Source organism: Homo sapiens, chromosome 14 (genome assembly GCF_000001405.40).
Source record: "Homo sapiens chromosome 14, GRCh38.p14 Primary Assembly".
NCBI lineage: Eukaryota > Metazoa > Chordata > Mammalia > Primates > Hominidae > Homo > Homo sapiens.
The window spans coordinates 100955792-100980978 of record NC_000014.9 but is presented as its reverse complement, the minus strand read 5'-3'; the positions used below and the strand labels follow the sequence as shown (position 1 = coordinate 100980978).

The following is a 25187-nucleotide window of genomic DNA, read 5'->3' as shown; positions in this document are numbered from 1 at the left end:
TCACTTCTAATTGCTTATTAATGATTTATTAATCCACTGACCATAAATTTTAAAATCATGGTTCATGAAATCCCAGTAAGAACCTAGAGATTCCTAATCCCTACAATGAATCATTCTAATATGGATACAGCTGTTTCATTCACTATCCTCAGTTTTTCATAGATGCATTATCAATACAATGCTTCACATGAGTCCCACATTTATTGCTAGAATACTACTCGACATCTTTGATTATAGTATGCACTTTTTTAGTAATTCATTGAGTATTTTGAAATAACCACTCAAACCAAGAGAAGAATTTTAATGATTACTCACATTGGTCTCTATGCTACTAACAAATAGATGCAATCACAGAAGAAAGATGCAAGGAGGAATGTTTCAATCGGCTCAAGTGCACCCATTCTGAGGAAAACAAAGCAGAGTCAGTATTTTAAAAAACAGACACCTCATCCTCTATAATTCTTGCTTTCTGCATTTCATTTACTTAATCATTCAGGTACTTCATAATTTTCCATGAAGTATATGTTTTTTCTCTTAACGAAAGGGACAACCTCAAACTTAGAGGAACTGGTTCAGAACAATAAAATTGATTCTTACTCTTAGTGTCTATATGATCTTAAGCCAAAGAAAGAAGGAACATCTTTGATCCAATATATTCTTAATGGATGTCAGTTGTCTCTACTTGTATTAATAATCTTGATTGCCCCACTATATACTTTTATAGCTGAACAGAGCTGCACTCTCTTCAATTTTATCTATCTACTTATATTTGTTCAATGGTCCTATCATGAATTCCCTAATATTAACAAATCTAATCTATGAATCTAAAATAAGAACATGGTCTTTATATATCCCAAACATCTGTCTGTAGGATTATTCCAAACAGAAGGAATAGACTAAATACGTTTTGCGTTGATGCTCAGAGTTCCACACACATATTACTCATAGTTTATGACTCCTGCACTACTATTTGTTATCGTTGTTCTATGCATACTCATTGGCCAGGTTTTTCTTCACTCAATCTTACATTTGCAGAGAATGAATCACTAATTCACTGAAAATGAGTGAGTCAGAAAAATGCAAAAATAAAATGCTAGAATAGTGCTAACAGCTATCAATACAACCATTTCCCATACACATTCCATCTTTTTCACTTAATGATGTCAACATTAGGGATTAATCAACATCATATTTCACATTATACTTGTTATTGGGCCATAAATAACTATTTGATTAATACTTTTTAATAATACCATGAATACTCTCAAGCAAATAACTGAAACCAAGACAAGAACATAGACTATATTCACATTGGTCTCTTTTTGAACGGAGTTAACATGAGAAACTTGATCGTTGTTGCAGAGTGCTCAAATCAGCTAATTGCATCTGCACTGAAGGGTGCTAGGTGGAGATAATGATAAAAAGATTGAGATATTTTGTCTGTTGATCTATAATTTCTTTCTTTCATTCACCTAGTCATTTAGGTATTTATTAATTTATGGTAATATTTATTTATTTTTCTTCTTATAAACTTCAAACTTGTAATTGACTTGGGGCAATAACTGGCTATTACTTATCAGTAATTATTACCATTGTCTCTATCATCTTTAGTCAGAAATATTATACACGTGGTCCATTTATTATCCATTCCAATGTACATTAGCAATATTTTCCTTACTGCATATTTCAGCAATGAACAATGCTTTGTCCTCTTCATTTTTATTTGTTTTATTTTATTTGTACATGTATTTGCTTATTCTGCTATTGCCACTTTTACAATCTTTTTAAACCTCATGCTCACAAGACTAATCACAAACTCCTTGTATATTTCCGGTATCTGTCTATTACATCACTTTAAACACGGGAATGAACTAGATTCTATTTGTGTTTGGACCTCAAAGTTTCAGATATGTAATATTCTTCATATACAACCAGCATGTACAACCACATAAGCCACCACTTGTCATCAACAGTCCAGGATTGGCCTTCTTTCTCTTCATTCTTACCTACACTTGTTTATTGAGTAATTCATTAATAAAGACATACACATAAACCACAAAAAATAAGCTCTTCAATATCACTCACATTCATCTATACTATCACAAAGAGCCTAAATCCCTTTCTTTAAATGAATTCAGTTTTTCACATAGCATTAATCAACATAATACTACTGCATATCAATCTGAAATAAAACATCAGCATGATTGACTGTCTTTGAATCACTCAAACGAAGATAATTTTTACCATTGCTGATGTTGGTCTCTATGCTCCTAACACACAGATATAAACACAGAGTTTGTAAGTATGGAAGAATATGCAAATCAGAGCACAGAAGATGATTACACATTCTCTTCATTGAGCCACAGATTCCTCTATCCTTTTATATAGTCATTCAGACATTTATAAATTTACATCAATATTTATTTCTTTTTCTCTTAGTAAATCAAACATGAAATACACAAGTGAACCAGATCAAAAACCGTTACTTCTCACTTTCTGTTATCACCATTAGTCTAAGACAAAATACACTTGTTCCAATTTATATTAATACTATTTTTCCCTCCTGTATATTTTAACAATGAGCACGCTTTACCACCTTGATGTTTATTCATTATGTGTTTGTTTGTCTACTCTATCAGTGATTCCTTACAATTTTCAAGAATCCATGAACACAGCCAGGCGTGGTGGCTTATGCCTGTAATCCCAGCACTTTGGGAGGTCAAGGTGGGTGGATCACAAGGTCAGGAGTTCAAGACCAGCCTGGGCAACATGGTGAAACCCCATCTGTACTGGCTAATTTTACTACAGTATTAAAAATTATACAATATATTAAAGAAGGCCAACTGCAGCCCAGTGACAAACATGAAATTGATATGAAGTAGTATATTGATTAATTCATTGAATTAATTCATTTAAGAAAACTGAGGATATTTAGTAAAGGAGGTACATTGACCTGAGAATGATTCTATACACATATTAGGGACATCAAGACTTTTTTCAGGTTTTGTGCATTAAAGCACTTTAAACATATTATTAGTAAATTGCTGAATTAATCAATAAACAATGTAGAAACGAATGAAGAAAAGATAGGCCATTTCTGGACCAATGATGATGCCTGGGAGGCAGAGGTTGCAGTGAGCCAAGATCACACCACTGCACTCCAGCCTGAGCAACAGAGAGAGACTCCATCTCAAAAAAAAAAAAAAATGCATGAACACAAAGATTCTTGTATATCACTGACACCAACTTACTGCACCTTGTAAAGAGAGGAAATGAATGCATACTCGCAATGGTTTGTGTGCTCCTAACACAGAGAACCAACCATAGTGCACATGCCATGGAAGAGTGCTTATATCAGCTGGAATGGGGCCATTCTGAGGAGTATAAACAGAACAGATGATTTAAAAATTCAGACATTCCTCCAATGATCCTTGCCTTTCACCTTTCATTTAGTCACTTAAATCATCATTATTTGGAATATATTTATTTCATATTCTCTTAAAACAAACGACTCTGAACTTGCCACTAACAAAGACACTTACTATTCATCACCTTTAACTCATACACCACCAGTCATCATCATTGGTCCAGAAATGGCCCATCTTTTCTTCATTTGTTTCTGCATTGTTTATTGATTAATTCAGCAATTTACTAATAATATGTTTAAAGTGCTATAATGCACAAAACCTGAAAAAAGCCTCGATGTCCCTAATATGTGTATAGAATCATTCTCAGGTCAATGTAACTCCTTTACTAAATATCCTCAGTTTTCTTAAATGAATTAATTCAATGAATTAATCAATATACTACTTCATATGGATTTCATGTTTGTCACTGGGCTGCAGTTGGCCTTCTTTTATATATTGTATAATTTTTAATACTGTAGTAACTATCCTTTAAAAAAGCACTCAAGCCAAGAACATTGACTATTACTTACAGTGGCCTCCAAGCTCCTAACACACAGATGCAACTGTACAGCCTGAGGGCATGAAGGAGTGCTTGAGACAACTCAGGTGAGCCCATTCTAAGGTGTACAAAGTAGGACTGTTGATAAAAAATTTGAGACCTTATGGCAATGGTTCCCTGCTTTGTGTCTACCGTTTAGCCAGTAATTAAGGCAAACATTCATTGGGAGGATATTACATTTTCTCTAAAAATGAACAACTTCAAATTTGCCACAGACTCAGAGCATGAACATTGTCTATAATTTAAACTGTGCATCATTAGCCAAAGAGGTAAAAGTCACATACCATTAATTTCTCATTGAATTTCATATTTTCAACATATAGTAATAGTACTTCTTGCCTTGCCACATATTTCTATATTTGGACAATGCCTCATCTATTTTATCTTGATTTACTTATTTTATTGATCCGATTACAATAATAGAATGAAAGTGCATGAAAAAAAATCACTTTTCTTTTGTGTTGGACCTCAGAGTTCCACACACGTATCATCCATTATCCAAGATTCATATGCCAGCAAGTTTTATCATTGATCCAGGAGGGCCCACTTTTCCTCAATTCATTTCTAAGTTATTTATTGATTAATTTAATAATTATAATTTTAAAACTCTGTGATTCACAAAAATGCAAGAGATTTATATCCCTAATATGTACTTAAAACCATTCTCACTTCAATATCTCTTATGTTAATAATAATTGTAGTATTTCATGTATACACTAAAAAAATAATATCTCATATTAATCCCATGCTTATTACTAAGCTACAGCTCACCTTCTTTGATTATATTTCACACTTTTTAATAATACAGTGACTGCCCATAAACAAACTATGCAAAACAAGATAAGAACTTTAGCTATTACATTGTTCTCTAGGCTCCTAATGCAGACATGCAATCAAAAAGCTTGTGACCAAGGAGGAATTCTGAAGTCAGCTTGAGTGGGTCCATTCTGAGAAATATAAATCAGAGAAAACAGCGCAAAAAAAAAAAAAAAAAAAAAAAAAAAAAAGACATCCTCTGCATAGAATGAAAAGACCAAAACCAAGATCCTTGTATATTCCTGACAACTGGCTACAGGGTCACTTAAACCAGAGTAAATGAGCTACATCTCTTTCACATTGGACCTCAGAATTTCAGACATGTATTCATCGTATATGACTCATACACCAACAGTAGTCATCACTGATCTAGGATTGGCCCTTTTGCTCTATTGTCACCTACATTTGTTTATTGATTAATTCATTGAATCATAAAATTATAGTATTATTATTCACAAAAACTCAAGAAGAGTCCTTATATCCCTAATTTCTATATAGAATTATTCTCATATCAACATAAATTTCATTAACTATCCTATTTTTTATATATGCATTAATTGATATAATATTTCATACATCTCATATTTATTACTGGGTTATAATTGCATTCATTGTATTTCATGCTTTTTAATAATATAGTGAATAATCTTAAGATAAAAGAAATACTGAAACCAAGAAAAGAATGTCAGCCATTACTCACTTTAATCTCTGTGCTCTTAATATACAGAGGCAACCACAGAGCTCGTGGCCATGGAAGACTGCTTAAATCACCTGAGCGTATCCATTCTAAGGGTATGAAGCAGAGCAAATGATAACAAAATTAAGACCTTATCTCCATTGATTCTTGATTCCTGCTTTCTGTATTTCATTTACTAGGTCATTTAGGTATTTATTATTTGTTCACTGTGTGTGTGTGTGTGTGTGTGTGTGTGTGTGTGTGTATTTATCTTACGCAAAGGAACACTTCTATCATGAGACTAACCCAGAACAATAAAATCAACTCTTACTTATCAATTTCTATATTATTCTTACTAAAAGTGGTAATATCTTTTATCCATTTATTTGTAAATGAATGTCAGTGCTTTAAATTTTGATTAGTAATATTTCTTGACTCCACACATATGTTCATATTGGACAATGCTTGACCCTCTTGTTCTTTATACATTAATTTATATTAGTTTAATGGATCTATCATTGATCCAATGGTAATAATAAATATCAATCTATGGAATCAATACATAGATATTATCTATATATTCCTGACATTTCTCTGTAAGTCAATTTCAACAGAGAGAATACACTAATTATGTGCTGTGTTGGACCTCAGAGTTTCAGACACATATCATTCATCGTCCATAACTCCAATGCCACCATTTGTCATCATTGGTCCATGATTGGGTCTCCTCTCCTTCATGGGTTCCTACATTTTTATCAATTAAATGATCATATTATTGACATTAATAAAAACAAATACATGGTTCAGACAAAACCAACAAGGTCTTTGAATATCTATAACATCTACAGAGTCACCTTCAACATAGACTAGATCTCTTTCATTTATTGACCTCAATGTTGCACATGAGAAATTAAACAACATACTGTTTCAGTCATACTCATTATTGAGCAGTGGTTAACTGTGTATTAATTTAATACTTTAAAATTTTTTGATTGACAGATAAAATTGCTTGTATTTATCATGCACAACATGATGTTCTGAAGTATATATACATTGTGGAATAACTAAATCTATCTAACTGATATATGTATTACATCTCAGAGTTATCATTTTGTGATGAGAACACTTAACATCTACTCTCTAGCATTTTTCAAGAATATGATGTATAAAATGAACTATAGGCACCATGTTGTATAATATTTCTCTTGAACTTATTTCTCCTCTCTAACTGAATAATTTAACACATTTTATAGTAATACCAAGAACATCTTCAAACAAATTACTGAAACCAAGATAAGAACTTTGACTATAACTCACCTTGGTCTCTTTCCAAACAGAGGGAACACAACAATCTTGATCCCAACAGAATGATTCAAAGAGCTTGTTGCATCCATTCTGAAGAGTAGAAAGCACAGAAAAACATTGAGATGTTCTCTCCATTGATCCACGTTGTCTACCATTTGTTAACACTGCCTTTTAGGCTTTTATTAATTTATGCTAATATTTATATATTTTGCAAGTAATAAACTTCAAAACTTGCAACTGAATGAGAGCAAGAACTGTTACCTATTACAGTCTATGTCATCCTTAGTCCAAGACATAATATCCTTGATCAATTTATTACCCATTCTATTTCTATTAATATTCATTTTCCTTACTATGAAGTTTAGTAATAAACAATGCTTCACCCCCTTCATCTCTATTAATTTATAAATTTATTTATTCTGCCCTTGATTCGTTTACAATAATATTTCTAAAATTCATGAACACAAATATCAACAACAAGGTCCTCATATATTCTGACATCTGTGCATAAGATCCCTTCAAAATGGGGAATAGATTACATCCCATTTGTGTTGGACCTCAGAGTTCCAGACACGTGGTGTTCATTATGCGTGACTCACACCAGTAGTCATAATTGGTCCAGGATATCTTTGATTTAACACTAATACAAATTTATCCACTGATTAATTTATTAATAAGAAATCCACATCAGTCAGAAAATACAAGAATAATATTCATAAAGATTTCTAACATTCATCTACAGATTCATTTCCACAGACTAAATCTCTTCATTACTGTCTTCTGTGGTAATGACCTTCTTTGGTCCATATATTGACCAATCACTATAATACATCTATCAATCTGATAGTAAAATTGGCATGTTTGGGTCTCTTTGGTTATATTTAACACATTTTAATAATATAGGAAATATCTTTTTTAAAAAGCTACACCAACAAAGACAAGAGCATTGACTATTGCTCACATTGGCCTTCATATTCTAACACGAGATGCAGCCAACGTGCTGGTGAGCAGGGATGAGAGATTGAATCACCTCTAAAGCATCTGTTCTGAGGAGTACAGAACAAAACAGATGACTTAAAAAATGAGAAAATCCTCCATTGATCCTTGCTTATCATCTTCCATTTAATCATTAATTCAGGCAATCATTACTTGGAGTATATTTATTTCCTTTTCTCTTAAAATGAACAATTTTGAACTTGCTACTGACCCAGAACAAAAACATTATCTAATTAATACTGTCCATATCATCCTTTGCCAAAATAAACCATTATGCACCATTTATTTCTCTTTGCATTTTAGTGTTTTCTATATATATTAACAAAATTCCTTGCCTCACAACAAGTTTTTATAATTAGACAATGTTTCCCCCATTTTACCTTGATTCACTTATATATTTGTTTACTCATTCTTTCATTGACCCAATCATAATAATAACATAAGAATGCATGAACAGAAAGACTCGATTTCTTTTGTGAAGGACCTCAGAGTTCCAGACACATATTCATCATGTATGACTCATACGCCACCAGTGGTCATCATCGATCCAGGATTGGGCATCCTTTTCTCCATTCATTTCTATATTGTCTGTTGATTTAATCATTAGTTCACTAACAATAAATTAAAACCCTATGATTCACAAAACCCCAAGAACAGCCTTGATATTATTAATCTGTACATATTACCATCTCATCTCCATGTATCTCCTGCTTTAATTATCCTCAGCATTTCACACATGTATTAATCAATATGATGCTTCATATTTGTCATTTGTAACAGCAGGCCTTATGTGATTATATTTCACACTTTTTAGTGATGCAGTGAATACCTTAAACCACCTAAACCACACCAAGAACTTTGACTATTACTCACATTGATCTCTAAGCTGTGACGCACAGATGCAATCATAAGGCTGGTGGCCATGGAAGAATGCATAAATCACCTCGAGATTATCACTCTGAGGAGTACAAAAAAGAGAAGATGATTTTTTTTAAACTAGATATTCCTCCACTGATCCTTGCTTATTGAGGTGTTTTGTATGTTGGACCTCAGAGTTCTAGACACGTATTATTCATCACCCAACACTCATACGCCGGCAGTTGTCATCATTGGTCCAGGAAGGCCCGCTTTCTCTTCATTCTTTACTACATTGTTTATTGATTAATTCATAAATTCACTGATAATATTTTTTAAAGCCTATGATTCACAAACCTCCAACAAAAGCATACCAATTTGTTAGGTAGCCATCATTATTCACATGTCAGTATTTAAATTTTATCATTTATCCTCAGTTTTTCATATATGCATTAATCAATATAATGATTCATATTAATCCCAAATTACGATGTTTACATTAGGCCTTTTGTGATTATATTTCACACTTTTTAATAATATACTGAACATCCTTAAACAAACCACCCAAGCCATGACAAAAATTTTGACTCTTACTCACATTGGTCTTAACAGAGATTCAATCATACAGTCATAACCATGGGAGAATTCTTAAATCAGCTCAGATGGGTCCAGTGTGAGAAATACAGAACAGAATAGATGATTTTAAAATGAAGAAGAACAGACATCTGAGACGTTCTCTCCATTAATCCTTGCTTTTCACCTTTAGTCAGTCATTTCAGTAATCACACATTTAGATTACTTTTTTCTCTTAAGAGAATGAACAAATTCAAAATCGCCATCTATCCAGAACATGAACAGTGTCTGTAAGTTATACCATCTACACCATCCTGAGCTAAGGAGGTAAGAGTCATGTAAAATGTATTTCAAATTAGAGTTTAGTGTTTTCATAATATATTAGTAGTGTTTCTTTGCTCACTACATATTTTTAATTTGAACAATACTTCATTAATTTATTTACTTATTGATTGGTTATTTCACTGGTCCAATTATAATACTAGAATGAAAATATATGAACACAAAGATCAAGCCCAAGATCCTCGGATATTCCCAACATGGGCCTAGAGGATGCCTTATATCAAGAATATGGACTATATGTCTTTTGTGTTGGACATCAAAGTCCAGACATGTTTTACTCATTGTATATGGCTCACGCCATCATTGGTCTCAATTTTCACTCATTTCTACCTTTGTTTTGAATAAATCATTAATCAATTTATAAGAGTAAAATAAGAACATGATTCACAAAAACCTATGAACATGATGCCAGACATACCAAGCATCTGTCTACAGAATCCTTTTCCACATTAGACAATGTCGCTTTCATTCATTCACCTCTGTGTGGCACATTATTGATTAATAAACATACTGTTCTATATTATGTTAACCATTGGGCCATGGTTAATTTTATAATAATTTAAAATTTTTAATAATACTGTGAATACCTTTAGACAAGTACCCAAAGGAAGACAAAAATTTTGGCTATTACTCACATTAGTTTCTTTCCAAACGCAACAGCAATACAGGTTTCCATCAAGCAGAAGCCCACTTGATGCATCCATTCTGATTCATCTTCACACAAACCAGAGAAGATGATAAAAAATGGAGAATTTCTCTCCACTGACTGATATATTCCACTATTCGTTTGTATCATCTTTTTGGTTTTTAATAATTTATGGGACCAGGGCAGTGGCTCACTCCTGTAATCCCAGCACTTTGGGAGGCTGAGGTGGGTGGATCACCTGAGGTCAGGAGTTCGAGACCACCCTGGCCAACACGGTGAAACCCCATCTCTACTAAAAACACAAAAATTAGCCAGGCGTGGTGGCGGGTGCCTGTAATCCCAGCTACTTGGGAGGCTGTGACAGGGGAATCACTTGAACCCAGGAAGCGGAGGGTGCAGTGAGCCAAGATTGTGCCACTGCACTCCAACCTGGGCAACAAGAGCAAAACTCCATCTCAAAGTAATAATAATAATAATAATAATTTATAGGAATATTTGCTTATTTTTCTCTCAATAAAATGAACTTCAAACATGTAACTGAGAGTAATAACTATTATCCATCACAGTTGACTCATCTTTAATCCAAGACATAATAAACTCGATCCATATATTATCCATTCTAACTTATACTAATAATCCATTTTCTTTATTACATATTTTAGCAATAAACAATGCTTCACTCTCTTCATTTCTGTTCATTTATACATTCATTTATTTATCCTGCCCTTGATTATTTTACAATAATATTTTTTAAATACTAACACAAAAATCCCGAAAAAGATCCTTGCATATCCTGATATCTGTCCATTGGATCCCTTCACAAAGGAGGAATGGACTAGATCCCATTTGTGTTGGACCTCAGAGTTCTAGAAACATGGTGTTCATGTGTATGACTCATATGCCACCAGTGGTCATCACTGGTCCAGGATCAGCCCTCTTTCTCTATTCCCATCTAAATTTGTTTATTTATTAATGTATTAACAAAGAAATACACAAAAATCTGAAAAGAAAAATAAGAATTATATTCTGAATATCCCTAACATCCATCTATATAATCCTTTCCACACAGACCAAATTTCTTTCATCAACTGAGCTTTTGCATAGATGCATTACTTTTTGCATAGATGCTTCATATCAATGTGATATTGAACATGGGCAGACTTCTCTTATTTGATTATATTTAAAACTCTAAAATAATGCAGCAAATACCATTCTAAAAACTGCTGGATTTGGTATAAGAACACTGATTACTACTCACATTGGTCTGCATGCTCCTAACACACAGATGCAACCACAGAGCTCATGACCATGGAAGCGTGCTTGAATCAACTCAAGTGCGTTCATTCTGAGGATCACAGAGCAGAGCAAATGATTTTAAAAGGTTGTAACATTCTTTCCACTGGTCCTTTAATTCCTCTTTCCAGTTAGTCAGTCATACATAATTAGTAATTTGTAATAATGCTTATTTTTCTCCTATGTAGGCTAACAATGTCAATCCTGCCATTGACCCAGAAACTCAACACAGATATTTACCTATTACTGTCTACATCATACTTAGCCAAAGATTTAACAATCATGTACCATTTATTTCTCTTTGGACTTCAGAGTTTCCAGTACATATTAATATTACTTCTTGCCACACCATCTATTTTTATAATTGGACAATGCTTCACACGAATCATCTTTATTTAGTTATATATTTGTTGATTCATTCTTTTATTGATCCAATTATAATAACAGAATGAAAATACATGAGCAGAAAGAACTGGTTTTCTTTTCTGATGGACCTCAGAGTTCCAGACACGTATTATTCATCATCCAAGACTCATACGCCGGTATTTGTCATCATTGGTCCAGGAAGGGCCCACTTTCTCTTCATGCAATTCGACATTATTTGTTGATAAATTCAGTAATTCATGTATAATAATTATAAAAATTTTATGGTTCACATAATTCAATTCTATCACCAATATTCGTTATATATACATACACATTATTTGACTTTTTTTATTTTCAGTAACATAGTAAATATCCTTAAACAAACCACCCAAACAACACAAGAACTTGGCTGTTACTCACACTGGAATCTTTCATATCATGACAGCAACACAAGTCTTCATCAGGGCTAAATTCATAATCAGCTCAGTGCATCCATTCTGAAGAGTGCAAAGTGGAGAAGATGATAAAAATATTGAGACATTCTTTGCATCAATCCATACATTTCACCATTCATTTACATTGTCACTTTGGCTTTTATTAATTAATGGTAATATTTATTAATAAAATAGACTTCAAGGTTGCAACTAACTGACAGTAATAACTATAACCTATCACAATCTATGTTATTTTTGGTCCAAGACATAACACCTTTCATCCATGCCTATATTATCCATTCCAATTTAAATTAAAATCCATTTTTCTTAACACGTATTTTAGTAATAAACAATGCTTCACCTCCTTATCTTCTTCATTTATACACTGATTTATTCATCCTGCCCTTGATTCTTTTACAATAATATTTTTTTAAATTCATGAGCACGAAGATCATGAAGAAGATCCTTCTATATCCTGTATCCTGACATCTATTTATAAGGGGGAATGGACCAGATCCCATTGTATTGGACCTCAGAGTTCCAGACACATGATATTCACTGTGCATGACTCACACACCACCAGTCACCATCACTGGTCCAGGATCAGCCCTCTTTCTCTATTACCATCTAAATTTGTTTGTTGACTAATTCACTAACAAGGAAATACACCTAAGTCTTCAAAAAAAGAATATGATTCTTGAATATCCCTAACATTCATCCATATAATCATTTCCACGAAGACCATATTTCTTTCATTAACTGAGCTCAATGTTTCACATATGCATTAATTAACCTAAAGTTTTTAATCCAGATTTTAAATATTGCATATTTCCCCTTCTTTTATTGTGTTTAATACTTTTTAATAATATAGCAAATAACATTTTAAAATGGTCAAAACAAGAAGGAGCATTAACGATTACCCACATTGGTCTTCATGCTCCTAACACATAGATGCAGCTATAGAGCTTGTAACCATGGAATCGGCTGGCAAACATCCATCCTGAGGCTCACAGAGGACGGCAGATCACAAACAGATAAAACAGTCCTCCATGATCTGTGTTTATCATCTTCCCTTTAGGAAAACATTTGAGAAATCACTATCTGAAGGATAATTATTTCATTTTCTCTTAAGAAAATGAACACTTTGTGCAACTTTCCTTGACCCAGAGGTTGACCATTATCTATAACTACCACCTGTATCATCCTTAGTCAAAGACGTTACAGTGGGGTACCATTTATTTCCCTTAGGACTTCAATGCTTTAATATAATATTTTAATATGTTATCATATTTAATATATATTAAATATTGCATTAATTATATATTAATATTAGATTTTTATTTAATATATTAAAGCTTTAATATAATGCTTTAATATAATAATAATAATACATCTTGCCTCACCACTTATTTTATAATTGGACAATACTTCATCCCCTTCATATACGTACATGTATACGTATAAATTATTTCATTGATCCAATTATAATAATACAGTGAAGTGAACAAACCCAAAGACCAAAAGCAAACACATTGTATATTCATAGGATCACCTGAATCAGAAGGAATGGGCCAGATTTCTTTTGTGATGGACCTCAGAGTTTCAGACATGTATTCATCATGTGTAACTCATACACTAACAGTAGTCATCATTGATCTTCTTTTTTTTTGCTATTCATTTCTACCTTGTCTATTGATTATGTCATTTATTCATTAATAATACTTTCAAGGCCCGTGATTCACAAAACCCAGTAACACTCTTGATATTCCCTATCAGTATACAGAATCACTCAAACATTGGGTGTTTCATTAACTATCCTGTTTTTTATATATGCATCATCAATATAATACTTCATGTCACTCCCATATCACTGGAATAACATTGGCCATCTTTGACTGTATTTCACACTTTTAAATAATACGTTGATTACTCTTAAACAAACCACCCAAACAAAGGTAAGGACTTTGACTATTACTCCCCTTGGTCTTCACGCTCCTTCCTAAGCGTGGTGCAAACAGAGTATGTGACCTTGGAGGCATCCTCAAATCAGAACAAGGACATCCATTCTGATGAGTACAGAGAAGAGAAGATGAAAACAAATTTGAGACATTGTCACCATTGTTTCTTGCTTTTCACCCATAATTAGTCATTTATGCAATCGTTATTTGGACTTCATATTAATTTCATTTTCTGTTAAGGAAATTTCATTTCATTAATCATAGTAATTTCATTTTCTGTTAAGAAAATGAACAATTTCAATCTTGCTACTGGCCCAGAATCTGAACACTCTCTATAATTATACTGGCTATATCATCATTGGCCAAAGAGGTGACAGGCATGTCCCATTTATTTCTCTTTGGACTTCATGTTTTCAATACACATGAAATGTTTCTTGCCTCACTACAGATTTTAATAATTGGGCAATGATTAACATTATTCATCTTTTTATATAATATATATAAATTATATATATAGGTTCTCACATTGAGCAACTATAATAATGCAATGAAAATAAGTAAAAACAAAGGCCATAAACAAATAAATTCTGTATCTCTGACATCTATACACATAGGATCATTTCAAACATACGGAAGGAGCTCTACTTCTGTGATGGACCTCAGAGTTCCAGACACGTATTCATCATGTAAGACTCATACGCCACCAGCAGTCATCATCGATCCAAGATTGATCACCTCTTTTTCCACTCATTTCTATCTTGTTCACTGACTGACTTGTTAACTCACTAATAAGTCTCTATGGTTCAAAAAAAACCCCAAGAATAACCTGGATGTTCCATATCTGTATCTAGAATCATTCTAACATTGATATATCTGTTTTATTAATTGTCTTCAGTTTTTCATCTATGCATTATCAGTATAATACTTTATATAACTCTCATATCTATCATTGGGATAATAACATTGGCCGTCTCTGTATTATAAACTTTTTTTTTTTTTTTTTGAGATGGAGTCTCACTCTGTCGCCCAGGCTGGAGTGCAATGATGCAATCTCAGCTCACTGCAACCTCCGCCTCCCGGGTTCAAGTGATTCTCCTCCCTCAGCCTCCTGCGTAGCTGGAATTACAGGCACCCACCACCATACCCAGCTGATTTTTGTATCTTTAGTAGAGGCGGGGTTTCACCACGTTGGCCAGGCTGATCTCAAACTCCTGACCACAGGTGATTCACCCCCCTCAGCCTCCCAAAGTGCTTGGATTACAGGCATGAGCCACCGCACCCAGCCTATTACAAACTTTTTTATAATACATGACATACTCTTCAACAAACCACCAAGACAAGAACTTTGATCATTAATCACATGGGTCTGCATGCTCCTTCCTAAGCACGGTGCAGAGGACCATGGAAGAATTCTTAAAACAGTACAACTACGTCCATTCTGAGGAGTACAAAGCAGAGATGATGATAACAAATTTGAGACATTATCACCATTTATCTTTGCCTTTCACCTTTCATTTAGTTGGTCATTTAGGCAGTAATTTTCTGGAGTATACTTATTTCATTTTCTCTTAAGAAAATGAACAATTTTGAACTTGCCACTAACCAAAAAATTGAACATTGTCTATAATTATACTAACTATGTCATCATTGTCCAAAGAGGTGACAGGCATGTACCATTTATTTCTCTTTGGACGCCACTGTTTTCAATACATATTAATAATATATCCTGCCATACCTGAACAATGCTTCATCCACTTTATCTTTATTTATATACTTATTTATTGATTCTCACATTGATCCAATTATAAAAATAGAATGAAATTATCACAAATAAAAACATTTCTGAATTATTTCTGTAGCATCATTTGAAACAGAGAGAATGGGCCATGTATCTTTTCTAACAGACCTCAGAGTTTCAAACATGTATTCACTGTATAAGACTCATAAGCCACCAGTGGCCATCATATCATCAATCCAGGATTGGTTCTCTTTTTCTCCTCTCACTTCCACATTATCCATTGATTAGTTAATTCGTTCACTAATAATTTTAAAGCCCTATATTCACAAAACCCAAGGAGAAACTTGATATTTCTAGTCTGTATATAAAGTCATCTTATGTCATCATCTCTCCTTTATTATCTTCAGTTTTTCATATACCCATTAATTTATATAGTGCTTTATATCAATTTTGTCACTGCACAACAATTGGTCTTCTTTGATTATAATTCACTCTTTTCAATAATATAGTGAGTGAATAATAATACCTTTAAGCAAACAACCCACACCAAGAAGCAAACTTTGATGATTACTCACATTGGTCTCCATGCTCCTAATACCCTGTGGCAACCATAAGGCTTCTGACCATGGAAGCGTGCTTAAATCAGTTTAAGAGCATCCATTCTAGGATTGCAAAGCAGAACATGTGATGAAAAAAATGAAGACCTTATCTGTATTTATCCCTCCTTTCCAAATTTCATTGACTTATTTATTAATTTTTCATTATATATGTGTATTCTTTCTCTCTGTCTCAACAACAGGAACAATGTCAAACTTGCAACCAACCCAGAAAATAAAACTTGATTGATACAGAAAGCCTCAATGTTTTATATATATCAAAGAACATAATTTACATCAATCCCAACTTCATTACTGGGGTGCATTTGGCCCTGTTTGATATTTCATATGCCATTATATAATGAATACCCTTAGATAAACCACGCAAACCAAGACATAAAATGTGATTGTTACTCACGTTGGTCTCCATGCTCCTACTGCAGACAGCCTCCACCTTGAGGAATATAAAGGAGAACCAGTGATTAAAAAGTTGAGACATTCTCTCCATTGACAATGGCTTTCCAACTTTCATTTATTTATTCACGTAAATGTTTACTAATTGATGTTATTATTTGTCTCTTCTAAAAATAGGACAGGATGGTACTTGCCATTGATGCAGAACAATAACACTGACTGTTACTTATCACTGTCTATACCAATGGTCCCCAACATTTTTGGCACCCAGGATGGGTTTTGTAGAAGAGAATCTTCCCACGGACCAGGGCAGGGAGGGGTGGTTTCCAGATCACTGTTCTACCTCAGATCATCAGGCATTAGATTCTCATAAGTAGCATGTGACCTTGATCCCTGGCATGCACCATTCACAACAGGTTCTGCTCCTATGAGAATCTAATGCCACTACTGATCTGACAAGAGGCGGAGCTCAGGTGGTAATGCTTGCTCCCCTGCTACTCACTTCCTGCTGTGTGGCCTGGTTCCTAACACACCAGGCACTGATACTGGTCCGCAGCCCTGAGGTTAGGGACCCCTGGTCTATATGATACTGTACCAAAGAGGTGACACCCTTGATCCACTTATTTACTTATGGACCTTAGGACTTTCAAATTATATTAATAGTATTTCAGGCCTCACCTCACATTTCATAATTGGACAATGTTTCACCCTCTTCATCTTCATGCAATTGTATATATTTTGTCATTGATTGCTTTGTAACAATACAATCAAAACTCATGAACTACAAAAGTCCAAGAACATCACCTTTGTGTATAACTAATCATCCTACAGGACTACATCCATCAAAAATAACAGACTAGATCTCTGTCTAGGTACTAACCTCAGAGTCTCAGGCATGTATTTATTCATCATCTGTGACTAAATATGCCACAAGCCATCACCACTAGTTCAGGATTTGACATCTTTTTCCTCATCCATTTCTATATTTGTTGATTTATTAGTTCTTCAATAGATTAATTACAATAAAATAAATGTACATGAACCACAAATTCCACAGAACAGTATTCTTAAGTATCCATAACTGTCTACAGAGTAAATTCACTCAGCAAATATAACCTTCATTAATTAATTTGTGTTGTATATATCCACTAATTAACATACATTTCATATCAATGCCATAGTACACCATAGTCAACTTCTTTGACTAAACATTTTGTAAACAGTACAGTGAATATTTTTAAACAAGCCACTCATACTAAGACACGTGCTTTGACTCTTACATTGGTTTCTATGCTCCTAACACATAAGAGTTCATGGCCACAGTAGAATGCTTAAATCACCTAGGAGCTTTCATTCTGAGGAATATAAGCACAGCAAATAACAGAAAGCTGAGATATTCTTTCCACTGATACATGCCTTCCCCATTTCCTTTGCTCAGTCATTTAGGTATTTATTATTTTATGGCATAATTTATTTTTTTCCCTCTGCAGTAAGTGGCCACTTGAACTCATCACTGACTCAAAGCAAGAACATACATCACAATCTTGCTTACTTATCCTTACCCCAAAATGTAACCCCTTTGATGCATTAAGGGGTTACATTTTGGGGTAAAGATAGCATTACTTACTGAACTCCAGTGGTTCTATGTTATATTAATAATAATTCTTGCCTCACCCCATACTTTCATAGTTAGATAACTTCATTCTATTCATTTTTATACACTGACATATTTATTTATTCTTTCACTTATTGAATAACAACAAAATCAAAATCCATGAAGCACCAAAGACTGAGAACCTGATTCCTGAATATCACTGAAATCTATCTGTAGGCATTCCTACAGATATAAACACTTAAATCCCTCTTTGTAGTGGACCGCAGTAGGTCACAGATATTTTGATCATAAAACACATTTCAGAATGTATTCCACTCGCATCGTTGGTCCTTCCTTAGCCTTTTTTCACATAATTTGTATATTCTTTCTACATAAACACGACTCAACCACCAGAAGAAAACGCTGACAAGTGCTTCTAGTTCCTATGTGTCCCTTCTTCGTAACTTACATCTTTATCACTTGAGGAATGCTTAGGGAAAACCTGCAGTAGAATTCTAAACAGAGCAATTTGTGATAGGGACTTGATCTTTTTTAAAAACCATCCTAAATAACACTAAATCAAATTAATCCTAAATTTTGGTTCTTCATCGTTAGTATAGGCTTGTCCTTGTTTGATTTTATTCATGTATGTAGTCATTCACTCATTTTAAAGATGTACAATGAACACCCATGAAAACCCACTCAACGGACAAAGACTGTGCCAATTCCACTGATTTCTAATCTCCTAAAATGTAGCAGTATCCTAGAAAGCCTGGTCTTTTCAGAATGCTTAACTCACCTAAGGTGCATCCATTTTGTACAATATAACAATGATGTTATATAAATTAGACATTTCTCCATTGAGCCATGTTGTTCCCCTTTCATTTACTTAGACTTTTAAATATTAATTGGGTGGGGTGCAGTGGCTCATGCCTGTAATTGCAGCATTTTGGGAGGCTGAGGTGGGCGGATCACTTGAGGTCAGGAGTTCAGGACCAGGCTGGCCAACATGGTGAAACCCCGTCTCTACTAAAAATACAAAAATTAGCCAGGCGTGGTGGCACACGCCTGTGATCCCAGCTACTCGGGAGGCAGAGGCAGGAGAATTGCTTGAACCTGGGAGGTGGAGGTTTCAGTGAGCTGAGATCGCGTCACTGTACTCCTGCCTGGGCAACAAACAGAGTGAGACTCCATCTCAAATATAAATAAATAAATATTAATTGCTTAATTAATTAATTACCTTCTTTTTCTCAATAAAATAAACAAACTGGAACTTACCACTGACACAGAGCAAGGACATTAACTATTTCATACATTTTTCTCAGTGATTCTGAAAATATTTCTCAGGAGGCAGCATCAGCATGATTTGGGAAACTATTGGAACCTACAGAAATTAAGTTATTAGAAATTTAGATTCTCAGACCCCACACCAAACCTACTGAATCAGAAATCCTGAGAATGTAGGTGACCTTCTGTATTTTACAAGCCCTCCAGGTCACTCCAATGCTCGCATTTGAGAACAACTACTCTATATTACCCTACCCTAGACAGGTGACACCCTTGATGTACAGGTTTCTTAATGCATTGCAGTGTTTCAGAATTACAGAACCAAAAATTCCTGTCTGATAGCATTTTCCTCAATTAATCCAGCTTTATCCTCTTCATCTTTAATTATTTATATGTGTGTCTGTATGTTTTGCTGATTCTTTCATTTATTTCCTTCGAATAATGCAATAAATCCCCAGGATCTACTGAAACCCCATAATTAGATCCCTCAAATTTACTGAAATTTACTATAGACTTATTCTCACAGATGTAATGCCCAAGTGTTCAATCTATGACCCATTGTCCCTCTCATAGAAAACTTGGTTATACAGGCAGACACCATGGAGGCTCTTGTCTGTGTCCAGTTTATTCCTACCAAGAGAGGCACTCTCTAGGAGAGCCCCAACCTGGAAATCAGTTAGGTCTGGGTGTGTTGATCAGTTGAGACACAGAAGAAACAACTTAGCAAAGCACATGAAATAACAGGAGCAGTGTACTACTCACAAGTCCCAGAGAACAGATGGCAGCATGCCTGGCAGGGCCAGTGGGAAGGGAGGACATTCATTAAATATACTTCAAATTTCTAAATAACACAGTTAGGAAGCAAACCACTGGAACCATAGCAAGAACTTTAACAGGTACTTACATTGGTTTTTTCTTTTTTTGTTTTGTTTTCTTTTTTTTTTCTTTTGAGATGGAGTTTCACTCTTGTTGCCCAGGCTGGAGTGCAATGGCGCAATCTCAGCTCACTGCAACCTCCGCCTCTCGGGTTCAAGCGTTTCTCCTGCCTCAGCCTCCTGAGTAGCTGGAATTAAAGACATGCGCCACCATGCCCGGCTAATTTTGTATTTTTAGTAGAGACGGGGTTTCTCCATGTTGGTCAGGCTGGTCTCGAACTCCCAACCTCAGGTGATCCGCCCACCTCAGCCTGGGATTACAGGCTGGGATTACAGTGCTGGGATTACAGTGTTGGGATTACAGGCATGAGCCACAACATGTGGCCACATTGATCTTTACTCTCCTGACAAAGTTTAATAAAGACAATCCCAATCATGATGTCCATTCTGTGGAATATAGGACAGGTGTGAAAAGCATGAGACAATCACTCCATTGAAATTTCCATAGATTTAATATACCAAATCTCCCTTTTAAATAAATTGCAGGGGTGCAGAAATGAATTTAATCATAAAACTGATCAATCAATCCATTCATATCACTGATTGGTGCTTGGCCTTTTCTTCATTTAACATGTACATACGTTTAAGATGGAACAACGAACAACCATCAAGTCATCACCCCATTCAACATCTAAAACCCTGATAATGACTTATAAAAACACAACTACGTAAAATTTAAGCCTTGGATCTAACCCATAGATTGTTATCCATCAAGGAATGTTGCATAAACAGGAGTAAAACCCAAAATGGAATAATACATAGCTATGAAAAGAGAATGGAAAACACTGATCTCTTTTTAAATCGTGCTCCATTGTACTAAAATGGATTAAGTTATAATCCCTGCTTAAAAACACATCCTCATAAGTAGTCCATGCTTAGCTTCCTCTAACTTCCTTACCTATGTTTTGATTTATGTATTTATATAATGTTTTCAATTTACTAAAAGAGAAAACAAAAACAAGTATAAACTAAAAAGCTCCAGAAATAAAGACAATGAGTATTCACATATGTGTATATGCAGGTTACTGACTTGGGTCACAAGCTTGGTCTATTTTTATTAATGGATCATAACATTTAAGACATGTCATAATAATTCTTGTTCCAGTAAATATACTCAAAATGAGACCACACTTAGACATATGTATCTATATTAACTTACAAGATGTTTATGCATACTTATCCACTGATAATAAAATTAGTATGTGTTAACAATCCACCATAGCCCCTAAGCAAGTTTCTTGAATAGTCTTAATATCTGTCAATGGGTTCATTTCCAAGAGAGATAATAGACAAGGTAATATAATAGGCTAGGTCTTTTTTTGTAACGAACTACAAAAATGTTGTGAAATATAATAATAATCATGTTTGTCTAGATTTGATTTCAGTTATGTCATGGTCCATGCTTGAACCGTTTTGTTTAAATTATATAGTCTATGAAGATGTAACAATAAGCCGGAAGAATATTCCACTTGAACCCACTATGATAATGACAAGTATTTACTTCACATGTGCTCCTTCCTCAGGGAGTTCACAGACTAGGCTATCTAGCAATATAGGAACGTTTGTGTAAACTATGAAAAATGCTAAAATGGGATATTAAAAATGTCCCATTTTTAGTTTATCTATAAAATGACTAAAATGACATCAATCTTTATCTTTTCAAAATTGTCCACAGTTGTACTGAATTACATTAATTATAATCCTTAGTTTATAACAGACTCTCACTTTTTGTCCCCTTTGATTTTCTTTAGGTATGTGGCCATTTATCTACCTTCTATAGTACTATGAACATCAATGAACAGGCAAACTACCCAATCAAAAACAAGAATGTCAACTATGACTTACATAAGAACACACTCCTTGTCCTCTGGGGAACAGTCAATACCACCGTCGCTACAGGATGATCAATCACCCATGAACATCAACCCTGCGAAGTACAAAGTAGATGTTACAGGTAAGAAACAACAAGATTCAGGCTGTGTCTGAATAAATATGAAATGATCAGGGTTAGGTTCATCTCAAACATTGGTTCACGACACTCCCCATCCTTAGATTAGATTCACTCTCCTTTTATTTATTGAATTATTTAAGTTATGAATTTTACATCAATAGTGAACATTCTTGAATCCATCACCTGCATTAAGAAAAACATCTGACTATGGGACATATTGGCCCCAGTGCCGCCACTCAAACATGTAATCGTCTTGCTATTCTCTGCAAGTTAGCTTTGCTTTACAGAATCAGCTTCTTCTCATTCCTGGCTTTATAACACAGTCTCATGAGTGGTCAGTTCTTGATCTTTTTATCTATTAACTCATTCATTATTAGTCTAAATGAGTTTATAATTCAGGAACAAACGAATTAATTTTTCCAACCAGCTATTCCTTTTCAACAAAATGAGTAATCTTTTCATTTTCAGAAATCTAGAACAGAAATGCCTATCCGACCCTAGTAAAATCCTACAATTTGTTTCTAACTAAGAGCAACTTTATAGAGGACATACTTAGTCCATACTTGGTTCCATTTTTCTTCGTGTATTCATACATTTCTTTGGTTATTTGTGCACTAATCAACTTATGAAGATATAATCGATAGCTACGAAACACAATCGGATCTTTGCTATTTCTAATACAGAATACAGGCTATTATTTATGTTACCTGCATGATTTTTAACCAGGTGTAACAGCCTGAACCATTGGTTTTTTAATGACATTCAGTGTCTTCAGTGTACATACACGTGGATTCTCTTGCCACCACATCTTTCCATAATTTGATGATGCTTCACCCTATTTACCTTTATGTATTTGTATCCATATGTTGATCCTTTTATTGATCAATTTATTATGATAGAGTAAAAACTCATTTAAAAAGGCCAAATAAGATCCTTATATATTCTTAAATAATCTATAGGATTATTTCTAAAAGAGGCAATAACCTAGATTCCTTCCTTCTTGGACCTCAGAGTTCCAGACATATATTCACCAAATATGATTTATACGCCACCAGTGGACATCATTGATCCAGGCTTGGCTCTCATTTTCTTCATTCATATCATTGAATAATACATCAAAAATCTAATAATACTAAAATAAATACCAAGAATCACAAAAACTAGAAGACAAGATTCTTGAATATTTCTAACATCTGCCTATGGAATAAGCAGAAATATAATAATATTTCTAACATCTGCCTGTAGATCAACTGACCTCAAGGCTTCATATATAATAATTACATTTTTTACATTTGGGTAATGGTTGGCAGTCACTGATTACATTTTGCACTTACTGCATACCCTTCAGAAGAACACTGAAACTGAGACAAGAAGTTTGACTATTACGTCAGTCTCCATGTTCCTAACACATGGAGGCAACCACTGATCTCATAGCCACAGAACACCAAAATCAGCCCGGGTCTGTCCATTCTGAGGAGTACAGAGCAGACTAAAAACATTGAGACCTAATCTCTGTTGATCCTGCCTTTCTGCATAGCATTTATTCAGTGATTTGGGTATTTACTAATTTTTCATATTATAGGTGTCTTTCTCTCTTAACAGAAGAAACAATCTCTGACCAAGAAAATAAAACTGACTCTTACTTGTTAGATTCTATATAATCCTTAGTCAAAGAGGAAACACTGTGATCCATTTCTTTGATAAGAGGAATCAGTATCTCCTATTTTTAGTAATAATTTATCTCATCTCCTATATTCATAGCTGGACACTGTAGCTTAAATCTCTACTTGTAATCTGTTTATATTTGTTTAATGGTTCTATCATTCATATATTAGTAATAATAAACCTAAATCTATGACCCCAAGATAAGAAAATGATCTTTGTATGTTTCTGACATTGTCTACAGGATCATTTCCAACAGAAGCAAAAACCTAGATTCTTTTCTTCTCATATTCATCATCCATGACTTATATGCCACCAGTGGTCACCATTGATTCATAGTTGGGTCTCTCTTTCATCATTCATTTCTAAATATTTATTGAATAAATCATTTCTTCTTTGATAATAAAATGAATACATGATTTTGAAAACCCAAGAACAAGATATTTGAAGAATCCTTACATTTGTCTATACAATAATTTCCCACAGAGACTACATCTCTTTCATTAATTAACCTCAATGTTGCACATTGTCATTAAGCCAATTAACTTTTTATTATATTAAATAATTTTTAATAATATCAGGAATACCATTAAACAACCTAAACCAAGACAAGAACCATTACTCACATTGGCCTAACACAGAGGCAACATAGCCTTGATCACAGCAAAATGATCAGCTCATTGCATCCATCCTGAAAAGTGCAAAGCAGAGAAGATGATTAAAAAATTGAATATTCTTTACATTAATCTATATTTTTCACCATTCATTTACATAGTCATTTGAG

The 25187-nt window shown here is 34.1% G+C and overlaps 1 long non-coding RNA gene, 17 other non-coding genes and 1 pseudogene across 18 annotated transcripts in view; all 19 read right to left on the bottom strand.

Moving 5' to 3' along the window:
- The window catches only part of MEG8 (maternally expressed 8, small nucleolar RNA host gene), a 109465-nt gene that overhangs the window by 18135 nt on the left and 66143 nt on the right, over positions 1-25187 (bottom strand). The window contains exons 23-37 of the long non-coding RNA NR_146000.1: positions 25030-25094; positions 22636-22717; positions 20760-20918; positions 19847-19952; positions 16979-17014; positions 16540-16626; positions 14244-14334; positions 13193-13340; positions 12255-12331; positions 11434-11520; positions 8633-8717; positions 6776-6853; positions 5483-5568; positions 3257-3374; positions 316-402 (exon numbers count right to left, since the gene is read on the bottom strand). This is a non-coding gene — a long non-coding RNA (maternally expressed 8, small nucleolar RNA host gene). The remainder of the gene's footprint in view (positions 1-315; positions 403-3256; positions 3375-5482; positions 5569-6775; positions 6854-8632; positions 8718-11433; positions 11521-12254; positions 12332-13192; positions 13341-14243; positions 14335-16539; positions 16627-16978; positions 17015-19846; positions 19953-20759; positions 20919-22635; positions 22718-25029; positions 25095-25187) is intronic.
- Positions 913-987, bottom strand: LOC124903420 (small nucleolar RNA SNORD113/SNORD114 family). The gene has a single exon (XR_007064398.1). It is a non-coding gene; the product is annotated as a small nucleolar RNA SNORD113/SNORD114 family (small nucleolar RNA).
- LOC124903417 (uncharacterized) lies at positions 1889-1977 on the bottom strand (annotated as a pseudogene).
- Positions 3514-3590, bottom strand: LOC124903419 (small nucleolar RNA SNORD113/SNORD114 family). The gene has a single exon (XR_007064397.1). It is a non-coding gene; the product is annotated as a small nucleolar RNA SNORD113/SNORD114 family (small nucleolar RNA).
- Positions 4429-4502, bottom strand: SNORD114-19 (small nucleolar RNA, C/D box 114-19). The gene has a single exon (NR_003212.1). It is a non-coding gene; the product is annotated as a small nucleolar RNA, C/D box 114-19 (small nucleolar RNA).
- Positions 5084-5154, bottom strand: SNORD114-18 (small nucleolar RNA, C/D box 114-18). The gene has a single exon (NR_003211.1). It is a non-coding gene; the product is annotated as a small nucleolar RNA, C/D box 114-18 (small nucleolar RNA).
- Positions 6100-6173, bottom strand: SNORD114-17 (small nucleolar RNA, C/D box 114-17). Its single transcript, NR_003210.1, has one exon. It is a non-coding gene; the product is annotated as a small nucleolar RNA, C/D box 114-17 (small nucleolar RNA).
- On the bottom strand, positions 7316-7384 carry SNORD114-16 (small nucleolar RNA, C/D box 114-16). Its single transcript, NR_003209.1, has one exon. It is a non-coding gene; the product is annotated as a small nucleolar RNA, C/D box 114-16 (small nucleolar RNA).
- On the bottom strand, positions 8239-8309 carry SNORD114-15 (small nucleolar RNA, C/D box 114-15). Its single transcript, NR_003208.1, has one exon. It is a non-coding gene; the product is annotated as a small nucleolar RNA, C/D box 114-15 (small nucleolar RNA).
- On the bottom strand, positions 8803-8876 carry SNORD114-14 (small nucleolar RNA, C/D box 114-14). Its single transcript, NR_003207.1, has one exon. It is a non-coding gene; the product is annotated as a small nucleolar RNA, C/D box 114-14 (small nucleolar RNA).
- SNORD114-13 (small nucleolar RNA, C/D box 114-13) lies at positions 11028-11100 on the bottom strand. Its single transcript, NR_003206.1, has one exon. It is a non-coding gene; the product is annotated as a small nucleolar RNA, C/D box 114-13 (small nucleolar RNA).
- On the bottom strand, positions 11958-12031 carry SNORD114-12 (small nucleolar RNA, C/D box 114-12). The gene has a single exon (NR_003205.1). It is a non-coding gene; the product is annotated as a small nucleolar RNA, C/D box 114-12 (small nucleolar RNA).
- On the bottom strand, positions 12795-12868 carry SNORD114-11 (small nucleolar RNA, C/D box 114-11). Its single transcript, NR_003204.1, has one exon. It is a non-coding gene; the product is annotated as a small nucleolar RNA, C/D box 114-11 (small nucleolar RNA).
- On the bottom strand, positions 13857-13927 carry SNORD114-10 (small nucleolar RNA, C/D box 114-10). The gene has a single exon (NR_003203.1). It is a non-coding gene; the product is annotated as a small nucleolar RNA, C/D box 114-10 (small nucleolar RNA).
- Positions 14880-14950, bottom strand: SNORD114-9 (small nucleolar RNA, C/D box 114-9). Its single transcript, NR_003201.1, has one exon. It is a non-coding gene; the product is annotated as a small nucleolar RNA, C/D box 114-9 (small nucleolar RNA).
- On the bottom strand, positions 16128-16198 carry SNORD114-8 (small nucleolar RNA, C/D box 114-8). The gene has a single exon (NR_003200.1). It is a non-coding gene; the product is annotated as a small nucleolar RNA, C/D box 114-8 (small nucleolar RNA).
- On the bottom strand, positions 17850-17925 carry SNORD114-7 (small nucleolar RNA, C/D box 114-7). Its single transcript, NR_003199.1, has one exon. It is a non-coding gene; the product is annotated as a small nucleolar RNA, C/D box 114-7 (small nucleolar RNA).
- Positions 23743-23813, bottom strand: SNORD114-6 (small nucleolar RNA, C/D box 114-6). Its single transcript, NR_003198.1, has one exon. It is a non-coding gene; the product is annotated as a small nucleolar RNA, C/D box 114-6 (small nucleolar RNA).
- On the bottom strand, positions 24667-24739 carry LOC124903418 (small nucleolar RNA SNORD113/SNORD114 family). The gene has a single exon (XR_007064396.1). It is a non-coding gene; the product is annotated as a small nucleolar RNA SNORD113/SNORD114 family (small nucleolar RNA).